We start from the raw sequence: 20,884 nt of genomic DNA on the forward strand, positions 1-20,884 counted from the left end.
GTGCTGGGATTACAGCATGAGCCACTGTACCTGCCCTCCCCCCCCCCCTTTTTTTTTTTTTTTTGAGACAGAGTCTCACTCTGTCACCCAGGCTGAAGTGCAATGGCACGATCTCGGCTCACTGTAACCTCCGCTTCCCAGGTTCAGGCAATTCCCCTGCCTCAGCCTCCTGAGTAGCTGGACTACAGGCGCCCGCTACCACGCCTGGCTAATTTTTGTATTTTTAGTAGAGACGGGGTTTCCCCATGTTGGCCAGACTGGTCTCGAACTCCTGACCTCATGTGATCCACCCGCCTCGGCCTCCCAAAGTACTGGGATTACAGGCGTGAGCCACCATGCACAGCCCTTTTTTTTTTTAGTAACAGTTTTATTAAGATCTAATTCACAGACCATAACATTCACCATTTTCAAGGGTATTAATTAAGTGGTTTTTAATATATCCACAAGGTGAGCCACCATCACCGCTATCTTAATTTTAGACTATTTTCATCACTCCAAAAAGAAGCCTTATAGCCATTAGCATTCATTCCCCTTATTTTCTTCCCTCCAGTCCCTGGCAACCACTCATCTACTTCCTGTTTTTATGGATTTATCTATTCTGGACATTTCATATGAATGGAACCATACACCATGTGGTCTTTTATGACTGGTTTTCTTTACTTAGCATGTTTTCAAGGTTCATCCATGTTGTAGCATGTATCAATACTTCATACCTTTTTATGGTCAATTAATGTAGGTCCAGCCCTATGGGGCTTAGCGGGTGTTCTCCCTGTGTGCGGAGACGAGAGATTGTAATAAATAAAGACACAAGACAAAGAGATAAAGAGAAAGCAGCTGGGCCTGGGGGACCACTACCATCAAGATGCAGAGACCGGTAGTGGCCCCGAGCAGCTGGGCTTGCTGAGATTTATTGCATACAAGACAAGGGGGCAGGGTAAGGAGGGTCAGTCTTCTAAGTGGTTGACAAGGTGAAGCAGGTCACGTGCTTACAGGATAGGGGGCCCTTCCTTTTAGGTAGCCAGAGCAGAGAGAGAAGGCAGCATACGTCAGCGTTTTCTTCTCTGCACTTACAAAGAAAAGATCAAAGACTTTAAGACTTTCACTATTTCTTCTACCGCTATCTACTACGAACTTCAAAGAGGAACCAGGAGTACGGGAGGAGCATGAAAGTGGACAAGGAGCGTGACCACTGAAGCACAGCACCACAGGGAGGGGTTTAGGACTCCGGATGACTGTGGGCAGGCCTGGATAATATCCAGCCTTCCACAAGAAGCTGGTGGAGCAGAGTGTTCCCTGACTCCTCCAAGGAAAGGAGACTCCCTTTCGCGGTCTGCTAAGTAACGGGTGCCTTCCCAGACACTGGCGTTACCGCTTGACCAAGGAGCCCTCAAGCGGCCCTTATGCGGGCATGACAGAAGGCTCACCTCTTGCCTTCTAGGTCACTTCTCACAATGTCCCTTCAGCACCTGACCCTATACCTGCCGGTTATTCCTAGGTTATATTAGTAATGCAACAAAAAGTAACATTAAAAGCTAATGATTAATAATGTTTATAATAATGATTGATAATTGTCCATGATCATCTCTGTATCTAATTTGTATTATGACTATTCTTATTCTGTTTTCTTTATTATACTGAAATAGTTTGTGCCTTCAGTCTCTTGCCTTGGCACCTGGGTACTCTTTGCCTACAAATTAATACTCCATTTTATAGATATACTCCATTTTATTTATTCATCAATTGATGAACATTTGAGCTGTTTCCAGTTTGGGACTATTATGAATAATGCTGCTGTGAACGTTGGTGTACAAGTTTTTTTGTTTGTTTGTTGTAGAGATGGGGGTCTTACTATATTGCCCAGGCTGGGGAGTAAGCTATTCACAGGAAAGATCATAGCTCACTACAGCCTCCAACTCCCAGGCTCAAGCGAATCCTCCTGCCTCAGCCTCCTGAGTAGCTGCAACTACAGGCACATGCCACTCTGCCTGACTTGATGTACAAGTTTTTATGTGGACTTGTTTTTAATTATCTTGGGTATATACCTAGTAGTGGAATTGCTGGGTTATTTGGTAATGCTATGTTTAACTTTTTGAGAGACTTCCAGACTTTTCTGAAGCAGCTGCACCATTTTACACCCCCACCAGCAATGTATGAGAGTTTCAATTTCTCCAACACTTGTTATGGTCTGCCTTTTTAATTACAGCCATGCTAGTGGGTGTGAAGTAGTTTCTCATTGTGATTTTGATTTGCATTTCCCTAATGACTAGTAATATCAAATATTTTTCCTGTTCTTATTGGCCATTTGTGTATCTTCCTTGGAGAAATTTCTATTCAATCCTTTGTCCATTTACCCTTATCTGACTCGGGGGCCAGAGCTCTTCCCAGTGAGTGATGCCCAGGGTGAGATTTTCTTTTAAACTGGGCTCGGTCAGGGCTCTGGCATTTCCAGACCTGGCTATGTTCCTGCCTAGTCTTGTGACCCTGGGCCACTTAACCTCTCTGAGCCTTCCTTGTTTCTTTCTTTCTTTCTTTCTTTCTTTTTTTTTTTTTTTTTGAGGTGGAGTTTTGCTCTTGTAGCCCAGGCTGGAGTGCAATGGCACGATCTTGGCTCAACTCAACCTCCGCCTCCCGGGTTCAAGCGATTCTCCTGCCTCAGCCTTCCGAGTAGCTGGGATTACGGGCATGCACCACCACGCCCTGCTAATTTTGTATTGTTAGTAGAGACGGGGTTTCTCTATGTTGGTCAGGCTAGTCTCGAACTCCTGAGCTCAGGTGATCGCCTGCCTCAGCCTCCAAAAGTGCTGGGATTACAGGCGTGAGCCACCGTGCCTGGCCGAGTCTTCCTTATTTCCATCAGCATTGCCCAGAGACTGCTCTGAGGCCAGCCATTCTGTGATAAGAGGCCCATGTGGTCAGAGAAGGCTCCCCGCTCGTTTGGGGAGTCTTAGTGCATATGCTTACAGTTCAGCTTCTGAACAGTCACACAGTTAGGACATCTATATGAATCTTTTATCCAATATATAAATTGCAAATGTTTTCTCCCGTTCTGTTTTGCCCCCACTTTTTTTTGAGATGGAGTCTCTGTCATCTGGGCTGGAGTGCAGTGGCACAATCTCGGCTCATTGCAACCTCTGCCTCCCGAGTTCAAGTGATTCTCCTTCCTCAGCTTCCTTAGTAGCTGGGAATACAAGTGTGTGCCACCACACCTGGCTAATTTTTTTTTATTTTTTAATTTTTTGTGTTTTTTGGTAGAGACAGGGTTTCACCATGTTGGCCAGGCTGTTTTTTTTTTTTTTTTTCTTTTCTTTTCTTTTTTTTGAGACGGAGTCTCACTCTGCTGCCCAGGCTGGAGTGCAGTGGCGCGATCTTGGCTCACTGCAGCCTCTACCTCCTGGGTTCCAGTGATTCTCCTGCCTCAGCCTCTCAAGTAGCTGGGATTACAGGCACCTACCACCATGCCTGGCTAATTTTTGTATTTTTAGTAGAGATGGGGTTTTCCTGTGTTGATCAGGCTGGTCTGGAACTCCTGACCTCAGGCAATCTGCCTGCCTCGGCCTCCCAAAGTGCTGGGATTACAGGCGTGAGCCACTACACTCAGCCTTAAATTTTTTTATGTTTAATTTTTTCTTTTTTTGAGACGGAGTTTCACTCTTGTTGCCCAGGCTGGAGTGCAATGGTACAATCTTGGCTCATTGCAACCTCCGCCTCCCAGGTTCAAGTGAGTCTCCTGCCTCAGCCTTCTGAGTAGCTGGGATTACAGGCACCTTCCACCATGCCCAGCTAATTTTTTGTATTTTTAGTGGAGACAGGGTTTAACTGTGTTAGCCAGGATGGTCTCAATTTCCTGATCTCGTGATACACCCACCTCGGCCTAATTTTTTGTATTTTTAGTAGAGATGGGGTTTCACCATGTTGGCCAGGCTTGTCTCGAACTCCAGATTTCAGGTGATCCACCCACCTCGGCCTCCGAAAGTGCTGGGATTATAAGTGTGAGCCACTGTGCCAGGCCTTTAATGTTTAATTTTTTAGGGACAGTGTCTTGCTGTTGCCCAGGCTGGAGTGCAGTGGCGTGATCACAGCTCACTGTAGCCTCAAACTCCTGAGCTCAAGCAATCCCCCTACCTTAACCTCTCCAGTAGCTGGGACTGCAAGTGTGTGCCACCACATCTAGCTAATTTTTAAAACAATTTTTTTATAGAGGCGGAGTCTCCCTATGTTGCTTACGTTGGTCTAGAACTCCTGGCCTCAAGCATTCTTCCCACCTCAGCTTCCCAAAGTGCTAAGATTACAGACAGGAGCCGCTACAGCTGGCCATCTTTTAGTGGTCGCACCACTCCAGCCTGGGTGACCCTGTCTCAAAAAATGAAGAAGTAAAAATAAATAAAAAATGAATCTCTGAAAGATAACAATGTTCCTCAACATTAGTCATCCCATAGCATACCCAGAAAACTTGACAATAATCCCTTAATGTTGTAGGATAGGATCTTGCACTTGAGAATTTAAATAAGATCTAAGAATAAAAATATTACTACAAAATTCAGCTAATTATGACAGTTCTTCAGTTTTCTTAAGTAATTAGCCCTCAGGAAGTTCCTCTACTTGAAAAAATGTTACTCCCAACAGTACCCTTAATCCCATGAGAATCAAAAGTGCTCTTCCAATCCCAGCATTCTCAGTCTTACTTGAACAGGTCTAGTAGTGGCGTTTTAACCATAACCTTTCTTCCACCCTGCAAAACTTGGTCTTTCATTTTCTTTGACACACACATCCATTTCCAACCTTTGCTTAGTGGATAAAGTGAAAGATTAACTTACGACGTTTGCCCTCAATTTTTAGTGAAGAGAGAATTTTGGGGAAAATCCTACTCTTATCTGAGATTGCATAAATGTTCAGAGAAACGTGGAAAAATGAAGAGACCCTGCCAGCATATCTTCTCCTCTTCCAGCTCTTCGGGGATGCAAGCTGTTGGTCCCTATCCTGTGTTTGGCTGACTATGCCTACCCTTCCGGTACAGTACTGGGGGTTTCAGGGCAGGTGAGCAAGGCTGCTGAGGGAGAAATGGAACATAGAATTTAGAGACTGAGGCTGGGTGCAGTGGCTCACGCTTGTAATCCCAGTGCTTTGGGTGGCCAAGGTGGAAGGATCACTTGAGCCCAGGAGTTTGAGACCAGCCTGGGCAAGATGGTCAAACCCTGTCTCTACAAAAATACAAAAATTAGCTGGGTGGTGTGGCTCATGCCTGTTGTCCCAGCTACTTCGGAAGCTGAGGTGGGAGGATCACTTGAGACTGGGAGGCAGAGGCTGCAGTGAGCTGAGATCATCGCACCATTGCACTCCAGCCTGGGTGACAGAGTGAAACTTTTGTCTCAAAAAAAAAAAAAAAAAAAAGAATTTGGAGACTGAAAGACACTGGAGAGATAACGATACTGTGAACAGATGTTCAGTTAGAGAGTCTGTGCTGCTCAAAATATAGGAGATTTGGGGTTGAGCAGACTCAACTGTGTGACTGTTCCGAGGCTTAACCGTAAGCTTATACATTGTGACTCCACAAACGAGATGGTAGACTTTGATTACATGGGCCTCTTATCACAGAAATGGCTGGCCTGGGAGGGGTCTCTGTGCACTGCTGATAGAAGTAAGGAAGGCTCAGAGAGATTAAGTCATTCGCCCAGAGTAATGAGACTAGGTGCTAGCATGGCCAGGTCTGGAATGCAAGAGACCTGGAACAATTTAGTTTAAAGGAAAGTCTCCCCCTGGGCATTCTTCACTGGAGTCCCATGGGAAGACCTCTGTCCCTTCAGCCAGAAACCCTTAGTCCAATCCAAGGTCACTTTACATTTTCAGACCTCCAGTATATTCATCTGGGAAGCAGGGATAGCAATATCCTGTTACCAGCTGTATTCCAGCTGATAGAAGGAGCAGCTAAAATGGATGGGTAAGTTGTTTATCAACCTTGAATTCTGATTTTGTTGAATTTTCTTTCTGTTTTTTTGAGACAGAGTCTCGCTCTGTCATCCAGGCTGGAGTGCAGTGGCGCGATCTCGACTCACTGCAACCTCTGCCTCCCAGATTCCAGCAATTCTCATGCCTCAGCCTCCCAAGTAGCTGGGACTATAGGTGTGCGCCACCACGCCCGGCTAATTTTCGTATTTTTGGTAAAGACATGGTTTCACCATGTTGGCGAGGTCGGTCTCAAACTCCTGACCTCAGGTGATCCGCCTGCCTCGGCCTCCCAAAATGCTGAGATTACAGGTGTGAGCCACCACGCCCGGCCTTCTCTGTATTTTCTTGAAGTTTGCTGAGCTTCCTTAAAACCCTGAGTTCTCTGCAAGAAGAAGGATGATGACTTATGGTGCCTCTCACTGGTGAGGTCCACCTTTTCTGCAATTTTGAGCACAGTCCAAGGCCTTGGAAAAGCTTTGTTTCTTGAGTCTCTCAAATAAGAACAACAACATTAGCTTTTCTGGGAGGGCCAATGGCTGTGCTGTGATGGGGCATGGATGCTTTCTCAGAGGTACTTTCCCCCTAAGCTTTAGGCACGTCTGACCATTTCTTCTGCTTTGGTCCAGTGCTTTCCTCATGATTTAGACTCTGGATGAAGGTGTTTTTGAAGTAGGTTTACTTGCTGCTGTCATCCTGTGTCACCTCACTCTCTGTGGCCTGGAAGTGCAGGGTTTCAGGCCTGGCTGTGGGCGGCCATTATATGACAAAGGGTTCAGCGTCCCCTGCATCTGGTATGATGCCCTCTCTGGTTTCACCACCTTTAGTCATCATTTTACTTGGGGTGTGGACATATTTGTTCCAGGAGCTTCCCCACCCTCTACAACTTATTGGAGGGATAAATTGTCCTAATGTTTTCTTCTGGTGTTTTTAACCATGAAATCTTAGACCTGGAGTAGATTTGGTTACCAAATAGCCTAAGGAGAGAGGACATAATATTTGATTTATGTAAGATCCAGGAAATGAGGAAAGGCACGGTGCCATGAGCTGTGCTTCCAGCCAGACCTTATTAACTTTCACAATTCTTTATGCAAAAGAGACAACTTCCAGGTGTTGCTAATGGAGGTATCTCATGACCTAGAGACAAAACCAGGAGCAGCTTCCTTCTATTTCTCCAAATCCAAAAACGATTGCTAGGGAGTTAGACCATGGCCCAGCTCTGCTTTGAGAAAGGGAATTTTGCTTTTGAGATGATTGAAGTGCTTTAAATTCCTCAGCTGAGAAATGAGAGATGTACAGATAATGAGACACACGGAGGCTTTGCCGCATCAGACTTCATGAGCTTGGAGAACATGCAGGTGCTCTTCTGACCTCTTAGCTGTTTGTCAGGTTTCTATGACCAGGCAGGTGTTACCAGCACTAATGTTTAGGGATTCAGCTATATTTTAGCTTCATTTTTATGATCCTTTTTTTTTCCAGACAGGATCTTGCACAGGCTGGAGTGCAGTGGTGTGATCACAGCTCACTGCAGCCTCAACCTCCCTGGACACTCAGTTGATCCTCCTACCTCACCCTCCCCAGCAACTAGGACTACAGTCATGTGCCATCACGCCCGACTAATTTTTGTATTTTTTTTGTGGAGATGGAGTTTTGCCATGTTGCCAGACTGGTCTCGAACTCCTGGGCTCAAGTGATCCACCCTCCTTGGCCTCCCAAAGTGCTGGCATTACAGGCATGTGCCACCACACCCAGCCAGGATCCTCTCTTTAGTCACGTCTTTATCTCTTCATTCATGTGACGATCTTTTCTTGAGGGCCTGCTTTGTGCAAGGCATCGTGCTTGGTCCTGTGAGGGATATGGAAGTGAACGTTTCACATCTTACCCCTAAGTTGCTTACTTTAGAGGAGAAGGTAGGGCTGAGAAGAAATATCTAAAACATAAAGTGTGAAATGGCTTTGTTGAGTTTATGAGTTGCATGTAAGAAGTGAGTGGATTTTCCTATAAAAGCACAACCAAGATGATTGCTTTCTGGACAGTGAGAATGCTTAGAGCACCCAGAACTGCTTCTAAGGACTCAGAGAGAGTTGAGATGTCTGTCATAAAATGACCTTGCTGTTAGCCTTTTTCTTGGGTCAGCCACCATTGTACCCACATTCCCACTTAATATAGACCATGTCTCTCTTTATCTCACCCAAAGTTTAAATAACAGTGAAAGATGAAATCAGATTGGTGGAGACCTGGAAGCTTAATTTTCCTAATGGTTCTCTTTCCAAATTACATCTGGCCGAGGCAGGAGGATCACTTGAACCTAGGAGTTCGAGACCAGCCTTGGCAACATAGGAAGACCCTGCCTCTATAAAGATTAAAAAAAATTAGCCAGGGCCAGGTGCAGTGGCTCACATCTGTAATCCCAGCACTTTGGGAGGCCGAGGCAGGCGGATCACCTCAGGTCGGGAGTTTGAGACCAGCCTGACCAACATGGAAAAACCCCATCTCTACTAAAAATACAAAAATTAGCTGGGCATGGTGCGCATGCCTGTAATCTCAGCTACTCAGGAAGCTGAGGTAGGAGAATTTCTTGAACCCGGGAGGCGGAGGTTGCAGTTAGCTGAGATCGCACCATTGCACTCCAGCCTGGGCAACAAGAGCGAAACTCTGTCTCAAAAAAAAAAAAAAAAAAAAAGGAAAAAAAATAAGTTGGGCATTGTAGTAAACGCCTGTAGTCTCAGCTACTTGGGAGGCTGAGGTGGGAGGATTGCTTGTGCCTGCGAGGTTGGAGGCTACAGTGAGCCATGATCGCACCACTGCAGTCCAGCTTGGGTGACAGAGCAAGATCCTGTCTCAAAAACAAAAAGCCGGCCTGGCCAACATGGTGAAACCATGTCTCTATTGAAAATACAAAAATTAGCTGGGCATGGTGGCACGAGCCTGTAGTCCTAGCTACTTGGGAGGCTGAGCAGGAGAATTGCTTGAACTCAGGAGGCGGAGGTTGCAGTGAGCCGAGATTGCGCCTCTGCACTCCAGCCTGAGCGACAGAGCGAGACTCTGTCTCAAAAAAAAAAAAAGCAAAAAACAAATTTCATCTGAGTGTGTTTCATGTAGTTGGTGTGATCTACATCCCTCCTTTTGTTCTTATTCCGATCTTTGGTTTGGAGAGCAATTGTGAGGAGGCATGAAATGTATCTGGAGATAGCTATGAGCTGCAGCCTGCTGATTTTCATGTAATTCTTGGCTACTTGCCAGTATGGTTGGGGTTAAACTGTTTCCAGGGTAGGAAAAACACGAACCTAGCATTTTGATATGAAAACAAACAAGGCTACTTTGTACTTGATGAAGCTCAAGTTGCAGATCCAGTGAGAGCCCATTAACTATTGGTGAAGGCCCACTGACAGTGTTGAGTTTCAGAGACCCCTGCACATTCTGGAGATGGCAGCGAATTGTTGTGCAGCCTACGAAAGTAATAAATATTTCTGCAGTGATTGTCAACAACAAAATGATTTTCTTGTTTGGGGGGTGGGGAGGCAAGAGGCAGAAACCTTAGGAAGCTGTTGCAAACCAGTTTCAGCTTCTGCTACTTTTATTTCTTTCCATTTAAAGCTGGGTGCAGTGGCACATGCCTGTAGTCCCAGTTACTCAGGAGCCTGAGGTGGGAGGCTCACTTGAACCCAGGATTTTGAGGCTGCAGTGTATTATGATGGCCCCTGTAAGTAGCCACTGCACCCCAGCCAGGGCAACATAATGAGACCCTGTCTCTCAAAAAAAATAAAAGACTGAGGCTGCACCAATGACATGGGGTGGAGTCAGGAACCTAGGACTCTTTCTGGCCCACTTTGGAGACCGAGAGCAGGATTCTGTGAGGTTGAGGTCAATGACTGGGAAAGCCCCAAAGTTCTCATCTGTATCTTCCTTCCACCTCCCCCAACCTCTGCAATAAAACAAAATCAACTCCAAGATTGACCATATTTTAGTAGTAAATATCAAACAAGCAAAATGAGGGCCTAAAATACTCCACTAAAATAGAAATTCCTATATTTGATATTCATGCTGCTACTGTAATCATCAGAAAGAAAAACTGTGCTGGTCAAAGATACTCACTCATTAGATGTGTACATGTGTAGGGCCTTGACATTCTACCCCCAACTAATCTTTGCGTCATCTTTTTCTGCCTTTGGACGTATGCCCCATGCGTCCTTGTTTCCATACTTTTATTCATGCTCTGCTCTGCGTAGTGTGCTCATTTTATCCACTGAAACCCTACGTATTATTTCAGTATCCATCTCTTTGGGGTTTTTTAGTTTGTTTGCTTTTTGAGACGAATTCTTGCTCTGTTGCCCAGGCTGACATGCATTGGCATGATCTCGGCTCACTGCAACCTCCGCCTCCTGGGTTCAAGCGATTCGTTCTCCTGCCTCAGCCTCCCAAGTAGCTGAGTTTACAGGCATGTGCCACCATGCCCGGCTAATTTTTATATTTTTAGTAGAGGCTGGTTTTGCCATGTTTGCCAGGCTGGTCTTGAACTCCTGATCTCAGATGTTCCACCCACCTTGGCTTCCTAAAGTGCTTGAGCCATTGCGCCTGGCATTAGTTTTTTGTTTTTTTTTTTTTTTTTTTTTTTTTGAGACGGAGTCTCGCTCTGTCGCCCAGGCTGGACTGCGGACTGCAGTGGCGCAATCTCGGCTCACTGCAAGCTCCGCTTCCCGGGTTCAACGCCATTCTCCTGCCTCAGCCTCCCCAGTAGCTGTGACTACAGGCGCCCGCCACCGCGCCCGGCTAATTTTTTTTTGTATTTTTAGTAGAGACGGGGTTTCACCTTGTTAGCCAGGATGGTCTCGATCTCCTGACCTCATGATCCACCCGCCTCGGCCTCCCAAAGTGCTGGGATTACAGGCGTGAGCCACCGCGCCCGGCCAGTTTTTTTTTTTTTTTGAGACAGAGTCTCGCTCTGTCCCCCAGGCTGGAGTGCAGTGGTGTGATCTCGGCTCACTGAAAGCTCCACCTCCCGGGTTCATGCCATTCTCCTGCCTCAGCCTCCCAAGTAGCTGGGACTACAGGTGCCTGCCACCACGCCCGGCTAATTTTTTGTATTTTTTAGTAGAGACGGGGTTTCACCGTGTTAGCCAGGATGGTCTTGATCTCCTGACCTCGTGATCCACCTGCCTCAGCCTCCCAAAGTGCTGAGATTACAGGCTTGAGCCATTGCGCTTGGCCTCGTTTGTTTTTCAAGAGAAAAGGTCTCACTCTGATACCCAGGCTAGAGTGCAGTGGTATAATCACAGCTCACTACAACCTCAACTTCTTGGGCTCAAGTGATCCTCCTGCCTCAGCCTACTGAGTAGCTGAACCTACAAGGTGTACGCCGCCATGCCTGGCTAATTTCTTAATTTTTGTAGAAACAGGGTCTCCCTATGTTGCTCAGGCTGGTCTTGAAATCCTGGCCTCAAGTGATCATCCCACATCAGCCTCCTGAAGTGTTGGGGAACCACTGTGTTCAGCTCTTGATAAAATTTTCTTTGAAAACAAAAACCTTCTTTGGCCATTCTGTCCCTCAACAGCATCCCTTCTTTGTTTTCTTTTTTCTTTCTTTTTTTTTTTTTTACTGGAAGCTGAGAGGATCATCCAGCATCTCTTCTTTGAGCTCCTCTTGTGTGACTGTGTTTGTCCCTCGCCTCACCATGTTTATCATAGAGTGCGTATGTTTGTTTCTGTGTAACTAACTAAATAAATCCTCCAGGGCAAGACTGATTCATCCAACAGTACATCTTTGTTATCCCCACAGCACATCCTGGGTGGACTGGATGCAACTGTAAATATCAGGTCACAAGTAAGGGGGAAGTGACGATTAATATCAAAATCCTATCTGCATATGTGTCCAAGCCATTTTGGAGTCATACAGACCTGGTTGAGATTCTGGCTGCACTGCCTATTAGGTGTGTGTCCTTGAACGAGTTACCTAACGTCACTGTGTAAAATATGAGATGTCACCATCTGTTGGAATCTTCCCTCTCTGAAATACATGATTTGATGTTTAGCAAAGGATTACATACTGCAGTTAAGAACCGTTTACCTAACTCTCTTTCCTGAAAGACTCAGTAGTAGGAAAGCACCATGGGTTTTTATAGATACCTTGTGGAAGAGATAAGCTCTGTGACTTGTAAAACGCCTTGTCCTGCCCAGAAGCAGGAGAGGTGTGTGTTTTCTTGCCTCAGCAGGCCTGCTACATGCCTGCCTTTGTCCAGCCCCAGGACATAGATAAAGCTAGTGTTCTTGGTTTCTAGCAGTTAAGCAACCTATAGTGTTTCTGCCTGGCAGAGTTCTGGGTTTGGGATTTATCCCCTTGCATTCCCCAAAATTATTACTTCAGGATTCTTTTGTTAATGCCTAGCCTCACACCCATGACATGAAGATGTCTCAGTTTAACTTTTGTTGTGACACTCATGTTGGTTTGAGGTTTGAGTTAGTATTCATTCTCTCCTTTCTTGAGTTAGAACTCTGAGGCATTTAAATGGGTGCGTGCCCAAACCGGAGAAAGATAAGAAAGATCTCTTATCTTAGACATTCTGTGTCTGCCCAGCAGCCTCTGCTCAAAGCTCCTGGAAATAAAATGGCCTTACGCCTGGAGATTATCTCCTACCCTAGAAGCCTGGCAGTTACTGTCCTGTTCTGACAAACTCTCTTTCTTCAGATCCCTTGATTGTAAAATAAGATACCCCTAGACCTTCAGCCCTAGTCGCCGTCAGCCTCAGTTGACCAGATGGCAAAGGTGTGGGAACAGCTCACCAGGTTCCCAAGAGCCATGTCCTAGGAAGGTCTCCAGCCTATTCCTTGTGTGTGGATCTGTTGTGCATTAGGAACAGATGAGAACTTTAGGGCTTTCCCAGTCTTTGACCTCATAGAACCTTGCTTTCCAAAGTGGGTCAGAAGGACCCTAGGACCCTGACTTCACACTCCAGAACACCACCATCATATCCAGTGTGCATGGCAGTCTCATAAACAGGGTTCCAGAGCGCTGACCAGGGACCTGCCTGTCTGCTTAACATTCACCTGACCCTCAGTTCTGGTTTTTGCTGTTTGTTTTTTCCTTGTTTGTAACTTCTGATATTCTAATAGCTGACGCCTGTGTGTTCATAAAGGAAAGAGCCTGTGGAGCCAGAGTCTTCACTCAAATCCTTGCTGTCTCACAGCCAGCTGTGTGACCTTGGGCAAGTTACATAAACCCCATTTGCCTCCATTTCTGTAACTGAGTAATAGGGATGGTAATAGCCACATCATAGGGTTGTTGTGGCTGTGAGATACTTAGCATGGAGTCTGGCTCATGGTCAGGGTTGAACAAATGATTATCTCTCCCCTACCCCACCCCAGAATTTAAAGATTATAAATATATAGACTGCCTACAAAAATGTTGCCAAAAGATACTTAAACAAATTTTCTACAGTAAAAGAATGAATTCAGGTAGCTGTGAGCATGTATGTTTTTGCAGTATGTCTTAAATTAATCCGGTACGGCACAGTGGTTCGTGCCTGTGATGTCAGCATTTGAGGATGCTGAGGTGGGAAGATTGCTTGAGGCCAGGGATTCGAGACCAGCTTGGGTAACATAGCAAGACTCCCTATTTAAAATAAAATTTTAGGGAGGCACGGTGGCTCAGTCCTGATGTCCTGGCTCATAAGGAGGCGAGGTGAAGCGTTCGAGACCAGCCTGGGCAACATAGGAAGCCCTCATCTATAATGACAGAAAAAATTTTAAATAAAAATTTAAAAAGTTAATCTGAGGCCAGACATGGTGGCTCATGCCTGTAATCCCAGCACTTTGGTTGAGGTCAGGAGTTCGAGACCAGCCTGGCCAACATGGTGAAACCCCATCTCTAATAAAAAGACAAAAATTAGCTGGGAGTGGTGGCGCACACTTGTAGTCCCAGCTACTTGGGAGTCTGAGGCAGGGGGATCGCTTGAACCTGGGAGGCAGAGGTTGCAGTGAGCCAAGATCGTGCCACCACACTCCAGCCTGGTTGACAGAGTGAGACTCTGTCTCAAGAAAAAAAAAAAAAAGTTAATCTGAATCCAAAGGGTAGTATTTCCAGCAGTACTATCTCTGGGGGTTCTCTGAATTGCAGAGGAGGAGACTGCCTCGGTAGAAGGATATCTCAGATGCTGCTTGGGGCCATAAGTAGTTGTTAATCTGCAACATTTTTTTTTTTTTCTTGAGACGGAGTCTCGCTCTGTCGCCCAGGCTGGAGTGCAGTGGCACAATCTCAGCTCACTGCAAGCTCTGCCTCCCGGGTTCACTCCATTCTCCTGCCTCAGCTCCCAAGTAGCTGGAACTACAGGCGCCCGCCACCACGCTGGTTAATTTTTTGTATTTTTAGTAGAGACGGGGTTTCACCATGTTAGCCAGGATGGTCTTGATCTCCCGACTTCGTGATCCACCCGCCTCTGCCTCCTAAAGTGCTGGGATTACAAGCGTAAGCCACTGCGCCCGGCCTTTTTTTTTTTTTTTTTTTTTTTGAGACAGTCTCGCTCTGTCGCCCAGGCTGGAGTGCAGTGGCATGATCTCAGCTCACTGCAGCCTCCATCTCCCAGGTTCAAGTGATTCTCCTGCTTCAGTCTCTCAAGTAGCTGGGACTACAGGTATGTGTCACCATGCTTAGCTAATTTTTCTATTTTTAGTAGAGATGGGGTTTCCCCATGTCGGTCAGGCTGGTCTGGAACTCCTGACCTCAGGTGATCTGCCTGCCTTGGCCTCCCAAAGTGCTGGGATTACAAGCATGAGCCATGCCCGGCCCTTTTTTTTTTTTTTTTTTTTTTTTTTTTTGAGACAGAGTCTCGTTCTGTCGCTCAGGCTGGAGTGCAGTGGTGTGATCTTGGCTCACTGCAACCTCTCCCTCCTGGGCTCAAGTGTCCCTCCCACCTCAGCTTCCCGAGTAGCTGAGACAACAGGCATGTGCCACCATGCCCAGCTAATTTTTGTATTTTCTGTAGAGATGGGGTTTTGCCATGTTGCCCAAGCTGGTTTTGAACTCCTGGGCTCAAGCAATCTGCCCACCTCAGCCTCCCAAAGTACTAGGATTACAGGCGTGAGCCATGGTGCCCAGCCAACCTGCAACATTTTGACAACATAATCCTGCTTAATTCTAATTTAGTATGACTTCCTTTTTTTTTTTTTTTTTAAGTTGGTGAATTCAGCATTGAATTTAATTCTGCATTGGCAGGCGGATGACTAAAGTCATTTGAAGAAGGATTTACCCTACCTTTGGCTCATCATGTATGAGGCTGGATCACGTACATAGGAGAACCCATTTTTTCAGGCTAGCAGAAATTGTTAATGATCATCTTGCTTTTCAAATGGCAAAGCTGACTCCTTTGTCACTAGGTTGTAGTAATATTTGTATAACATGGCAGAAAGTGAACTCACTTTCCTGGGAATGCCTGAATTTGCCAACTCAATCTCTTTTTCTCCTCACCCCTCAGATATCAGCGCTTAGTGAACGTTAGTGAGGGGCTGTAGGCAAGAAGTTGATAGAAAGAAGCTGTTGTCAGCAGTCACTTTTTTAGAATATATTGTATTGTACTAGGTGTAATGCCTTGGGTTAAATGCTGCCTTGCACACAAGAATTTATAATCTGTGAGAAGATAAAAATAGACGAATGCTGATTAGAAACACTGTCTTGGGTAGCATCATAAAAGGATGATTCATTAGGAAATCAGGAAGTCTATAATGCAATTTTGATCATTTAGGTTGTATTTTTACAAGTTTTTTTTTGGATTTCTAGTAATTTTGTTGCAATTCCACTTCTGAGATCATCACTGATGAATATTATTTAGAATTATGGGGCCAAGCTTAGTGGCTCATGCCTGTAATCTTAACACTTTGAAAGGCTGAGGCAGGAGGATCACTTGAGGACAAGAGTTCAAGCCTGGACAACATAGTGAGACCCTGTCTCTACAAAAAATAAAAATTAAAAAAACTTAGCTGAGTGTGGTGGCGTGGTGGCGTGTGCCTGTAGTGCCAGCTTTTTGGGAGGATGAGGCAGGAGGATCACTTGAGCCTAGGGTGACAGAACAAAACCCTATCTCTTAAAAAAACAAAACAAAAAAAAAAAAGGAAGGAAGAAAAATATGGAACACTTCATAGCCCATTAGAGCAAGGTTTATTGTGTGTTTTGGTCATAGTGGCATCCCCAGTGCCTAAAACAATGCCTGGCACACTGTAGGCATTCAGTGAGCGTGGAGTGAGTGAATGAATGGTACACTTATGCCATGGCACTCTTTCTGGAGAATTTCAGGTGCCAGTCTGTCTTGTTAGATCAGTGCAGATTACATTGCCCATGAGGGGATGAGGATGCTGTTTCCATCAGTTTGATTGCCAAAGTTAGTGCTGCGTATGTTTTGTGGTTCTCAGTGGTTGCCAGGGAACCGAGGAAGTGAAAGGAAGGGGTTGAAAGCAGCCTCATTGCTGTTCCCTGGGCGGCTGTGCCTTGATGTCCAGCCTTGTCTGTATGGCAGTTTGGCCTGGTTGTGAGAGTGGTGACAAGGCCTGGGATAGACTGACCATGTCTTGAGAATATGTATGTGCTGAAGAATGGCTTCCCAGTCCCCAAACACCGGCAGCAGCAGGAGCCACTTCTTTTACACATCAGCCACCTTTTCCTCTAGCAATGAAGCTGTGATCCATTCTTTCAGTGAGTCTCAAGGAAATGGTTCAGCCAGTTTGGCACATTCATTTTCTTGTCAGGAAAGTCAATGTGACCTTGACCATCATTGGGGACCTGCGGTAAACACGTTGTGTGTCTGGCTGGATTCTAATGATCAAACAGTGCTTTTGGCACCTCACTGTGCTGTACGTGTCATGTGCTCCTAATTTATTGTCCTAGGTTGGGGGTTATAGGTACTAATTTGCAAGAATCATTTCTGACTTACATGGATCATGCCCAGCACAGTGCCACTACCATGGAGGCCTTGGATAAGTATCATGAAAGAAAATTGTTGCAGAAAATGAAAGGAAAGATGAAATATACTTGCTTTGAGTCCTGGACAGTGTAATTAATTTGTAGCTGAGGAAGTTATTGAAAAGTAACTTTTTGTAATCCCAGCACTTTAGGAGGCTAAGGTGGGCAGATCACTTGAGCCCAGGAGTTCAAGACCAGCCTGGGCAACATGGCGAAACCCCATCTCTACACAAAAAAACAAAAATTAGCTGCGCATGGTAGCACGTGCCTGTGGTACCAGCTCCTTGGGAGGCTGAGGTGGGAGGATCGCTTGAGCTCGGAAGGCAGAGGTTGCAGTGAGCCAAGATCATCACACCACTGTACTCCAGCCTGGGTAACAGAGTGAGACCCTATCTCAAAAAAAAAAAAAAAAAAAAAAAAGTAACTTTCGATTTATAAAGCTCCTCTGAAGATTGTTCTCCTTGAGTCATTTCTGGAAATCCGAACCCAAACATGGACCTTTTGTGCTGTGCAAGTGTTGTCTTTGGTAGAGGATTCAGGCCGAGGGAGAGCTGCTGTGACCTCCTGTTTCAGGGAGGGTAGCCAGAAGGGATTTGGCTTACACCACCGACTAGGGAAAGTCAGAGCAGGACACCATCCCCAGGGCCCTTGCTTGTGCAAAGCTTGCGTTAGAGAACTCTTGTCTCCCTGAGCTGAACTTAGTGAAGAAAGCACGACAAACCTAAGGCGGTGAACTTTTCTGAACCAAGAGTTGGTTTAAATATAGATGATCTGCCTTTCTGGCAACTTGGAGGCTGCGGTGGGACTTGTTGTACCTTTTATAAGACAAGTGAGGAAAGATGTTGGCACCTGTACTTGCGCAGTTTGTTTATGAAATATAAACTCTCCGGTGGAAGCGAGGGCTCGAAAGGTCAGTGTCCAAGGTAGCGTGTCGTACCTTAGCTGGGGAAAAGGTGCCTCTCCAAGCCCCCGCTGCGAATTGCCTCATTCCCTAGAGAAAGTTGGGACAGCCAGGCTTCATGTCCTATTATTTACTGAGCACCGACTCTGGCAGGGGTGGGGGTGGAAAAGTTTCTGTGAAACTGACAGACACTGGACTTGATTTTCTTTCCCAGGGAGGAGAAACAATACTCTAGGAGCTACAAAGTCAGTCCTTATTCAGAGCAGTGTTCCTGTTTTCAGCTTTAGAGACTTGATTTATGTACCCCCCAGCCTGCTTAGAGCCAAGGGGTTGCAGCAGCCTGCTCCCATCTGCAGCCCCCACCATCCTCCCACAGTGGGCTCTGGCTCTAGGTGGGTCCAGGGCTGGGCATCGCGGGTCTGCAGCACATCCTCCTCAGTATTCCAGTGCAGCTGTCTGAAGTTTTTTCTGCTGCGCCTGAACTGATGTCATTTCCCCCTTGGCAGACAGCTTCGGCTTTGCTGCGTCTGAGATATGTCACGAGAAGGTGGGGGTGGGCCAGAGCCAGGCAGGGGGAGTAGCGAGGAGAGCAGGAGACAGTGTGCCTGCTCGGTCCCAGGACTCTGTTTACTTTGTCTGCTTTGCTAAAGAAGGCCGGTGAACCAGGACCACCGCACACACAGGCCCACCAGGGGCAATGCTCATTCCAAGACCTTAACTTTTAAGAGCCCTTTGTTCCAACGTTAGTGTGGACGATGCTCTTGCAGGATGCCTTTCCTTTTGGGTCTTAGACAGGTAATTGTTTCTGCACGGATCGGGTTTGGAAGGGAAGAAGGGGTGGGAGCTTGTTTATTGTACTACTGCTTTGGGTGGAGGGAATATTTTAGCAAATGCCTCTCAGTTAGACCAGGCCAGCTCCCACACAGAACTTTCCAGTCTCCCTTCTTGTTTGCTAGTTGCTCCTTACTTTCAGAGCCACCGTGTTCTTAACCCTCTACGTCCCCGAGGTTTCTCTAGGGCTGACCAGTTCTGATTTTCCATCAGACACTGTAAAACTGCTTTGGAAACTTCACGGAGAAACAGCTGAAGAATGGGGCTGGGGAAGGGGAGAGGCAGAGTGCGATTCTTGCTCCAAACCCCTTTTATTCCTTCTCCATTTTGATTTGGCTAGTTAGTGGAGATTTCCTCACAGTCCTCTGGTTCTGAAGGGACTCTGTGTTGGGGGTGGGGTGAGGGCTCCGTTCTTCTTTTAAAGGAAAGGCTTTCTTCCTTTCAAGCATGTGCCTGGGGCTGTGCAGCTGAGGGACGTTCCCGACGCCTCAGGGGAAGGGGTGTGGAATTGACCCCATTTTGGCCTTACTGACCAGTTTTTCAAAAAGACCCCTGTGGCAGAGACTTGATTGCTCGGTGAGCCGCCCTTTGAAGTGGGAGCACTGCATTCATTCCAGCCGGTAAAGCAGTGTGGAATGAGAGAACAGTAGCAAGCCACCAACTGCTGTCTGCTGAGAACACAGCTGTTGCCAACTATTTGTTCCAGGGCTTCTGAGAGTCAGACACCCCCACCCCCTCTTCGTCTGAGAGGCATGTCTGTATCGGAATGTGTAACTGTAACCAGCAGCTGCTGGCCATAAGGGGTGGGGAGGGAGCACACACCCTCTGCTGCCTGTTCCTGGGTGAGGAAAAGCCACAGATGAGCTCACAGCAGAAGCCCTAGAGGGGAGCTGCTAGGGACCACTGGTTGCCCTCACTCTGAGAAAAGTGCTAGGTGGACAACTCTCCCTTGAGTTGCCTACAGTTCTGTTCAAAGGAAGCTCCTCTGAAAAGCCCCAAACATTCCATTACAGCTCTTGTTATCTTCAGAGTGTTGCGTTGACACAGCTGATGGGCAGAGAGGTGACCACTCTGAACATCCCTTCTGCCCCCACAAGAAAGGCTGTCCTTTTTTTTTTTTTTTTTTTTTTTTTTGAGATGGAGTCTCACTCTGTTGCCCAGGCTGGAGTGTAGTGGCGTTAGCTCACTGCAACTTCTGTCTCCTGGGTTCAAGCGATTCTCCTGCCTCAGCCTCCTGAGTAGCTGGGATTACAGGCATGTGCCACTATACCCGGCTAAGTTTTGTATTTTTAGTAGAGACGGGGTTTCGCCATGTTGGTCTGACTGGTCTCGAACTCCTGACCTCCGGTGATCCGGCCACCTCAGCCTCCCGAAGTGCTAGGATTACAGGCGTGAGCCACTGTGCCTGGCCAGAAAGGCTGTCCTTTTAACCTATGGGCAGAGTGAGCCCTGGAGAGGATTTCAAGCAGTGTTGGAAATAGGATGAAGCTGGATGAAGCGTCTCATGCTGTGTCAGCAGGCTGGTAGGGTGAAAACTGCCTAACAGAGTGGAAAGAGTGGGCTGGGAGCTGGAAAGACCTGCGTTCATATCCCAGCTTCCCTGAGGTCTTGGGCAGGCCCTTAACTGTTCTGAACCTCATCTCTGAGGTCACACAGGGATTCCACGAAAGAATGTATGTGAACGTTAGCACCTGGGCTGGTAGAGAGTAGACATAACTCTTACTTTGATCTACTCATTCCCAAAGGATGCAACACTGCAGGGGTGCAGGAAACGAGAAGCGAAGGGACTGATACCTTGACAGGAGCCAGGTGTGCTGGGCAGGAGCCCACAGCCAGGGGAGTGAGCTCTTGCATCTGTAGTCAGTGACTGCCATTGTGCAGTGACGTACAGCTGGGAGGCCACCTCTTACTCTACCGAGACACTGTTAATCTTATATACTGAGGTGGCAAGAGGGCGAGGGCTTGTGTCCAGTTACTTGGACATGTAGTGAGAGAATGAAGCAGTGGGTAGCATTAAACTCTTCAAGGAGAGTGAAGGGTTGGGATGGTTGTTTTGGGAAGGATCTGAGAGGATCAACAGCAGGTGAACCTTTAGCTCTTGTGTCTGAACAGTTGCCTGGTGGAAGGCAGAATTTAGAAGACCTCCGAAGGCCCTTCCTGCCCTAGGCTTCTGTGACTCAAATGTTGCCTGTACAATCTTGGAGTAGTTTTGGTTACATATTTTGTATATTTCTAGTATTTTCTGTCAGACAGTGTAACTATGTTCTTTA

At 46.6% G+C, this 20,884-nt stretch overlaps 1 protein-coding gene across 2 annotated transcripts in view, besides 3 other annotated features; it reads left to right on the forward strand.

Annotated features, from left to right (window-relative positions):
* WBP1L (WW domain binding protein 1 like) overlaps positions 1–20,884 on the forward strand; it is a 72,315-nt gene that overhangs the window by 13,892 nt on the left and 37,539 nt on the right. Inside the window, exon 1 of one of the 2 annotated variants that reach the window (NM_017787.5) lies at positions 18,382–18,578. The exons of the other annotated variant lie outside the window; for it this stretch is intronic. Coding sequence (NP_060257.4) covers positions 18,552–18,578 — 27 coding nt within the window. The 5' untranslated portion in view covers positions 18,382–18,551. Of the gene's footprint in view, positions 1–18,381; positions 18,579–20,884 lie in introns of those variants that run through there. 2 annotated transcript variants of the gene reach the window in all.
* Positions 17,237–17,768: an enhancer, noted in NCBI's record as "H3K27ac-H3K4me1 hESC enhancer chr10:104534833-104535364 (GRCh37/hg19 assembly coordinates)". NCBI's record gives its function as "activates a minimal SCP1, AML or CMV promoter by ChIP-STARR-seq in naive H9 embryonic stem cells {active_cell/tissue: H9 hESC(naive)}" and the evidence as "EXISTENCE:reporter gene assay evidence [ECO:0000049][PMID:30033119]".
* Positions 18,301–18,832: an enhancer, noted in NCBI's record as "H3K27ac-H3K4me1 hESC enhancer chr10:104535897-104536428 (GRCh37/hg19 assembly coordinates)". NCBI's record gives its function as "activates a minimal SCP1, AML or CMV promoter by ChIP-STARR-seq in naive H9 embryonic stem cells {active_cell/tissue: H9 hESC(naive)}" and the evidence as "EXISTENCE:reporter gene assay evidence [ECO:0000049][PMID:30033119]".
* Positions 18,833–19,364: an enhancer, noted in NCBI's record as "OCT4-NANOG-H3K27ac hESC enhancer chr10:104536429-104536960 (GRCh37/hg19 assembly coordinates)". NCBI's record gives its function as "activates a minimal SCP1, AML or CMV promoter by ChIP-STARR-seq in naive H9 embryonic stem cells {active_cell/tissue: H9 hESC(naive)}" and the evidence as "EXISTENCE:reporter gene assay evidence [ECO:0000049][PMID:30033119]".

Source organism: Homo sapiens, chromosome 10, assembly GCF_000001405.40.
Source record: "Homo sapiens chromosome 10, GRCh38.p14 Primary Assembly".
NCBI lineage: Eukaryota > Metazoa > Chordata > Mammalia > Primates > Hominidae > Homo > Homo sapiens.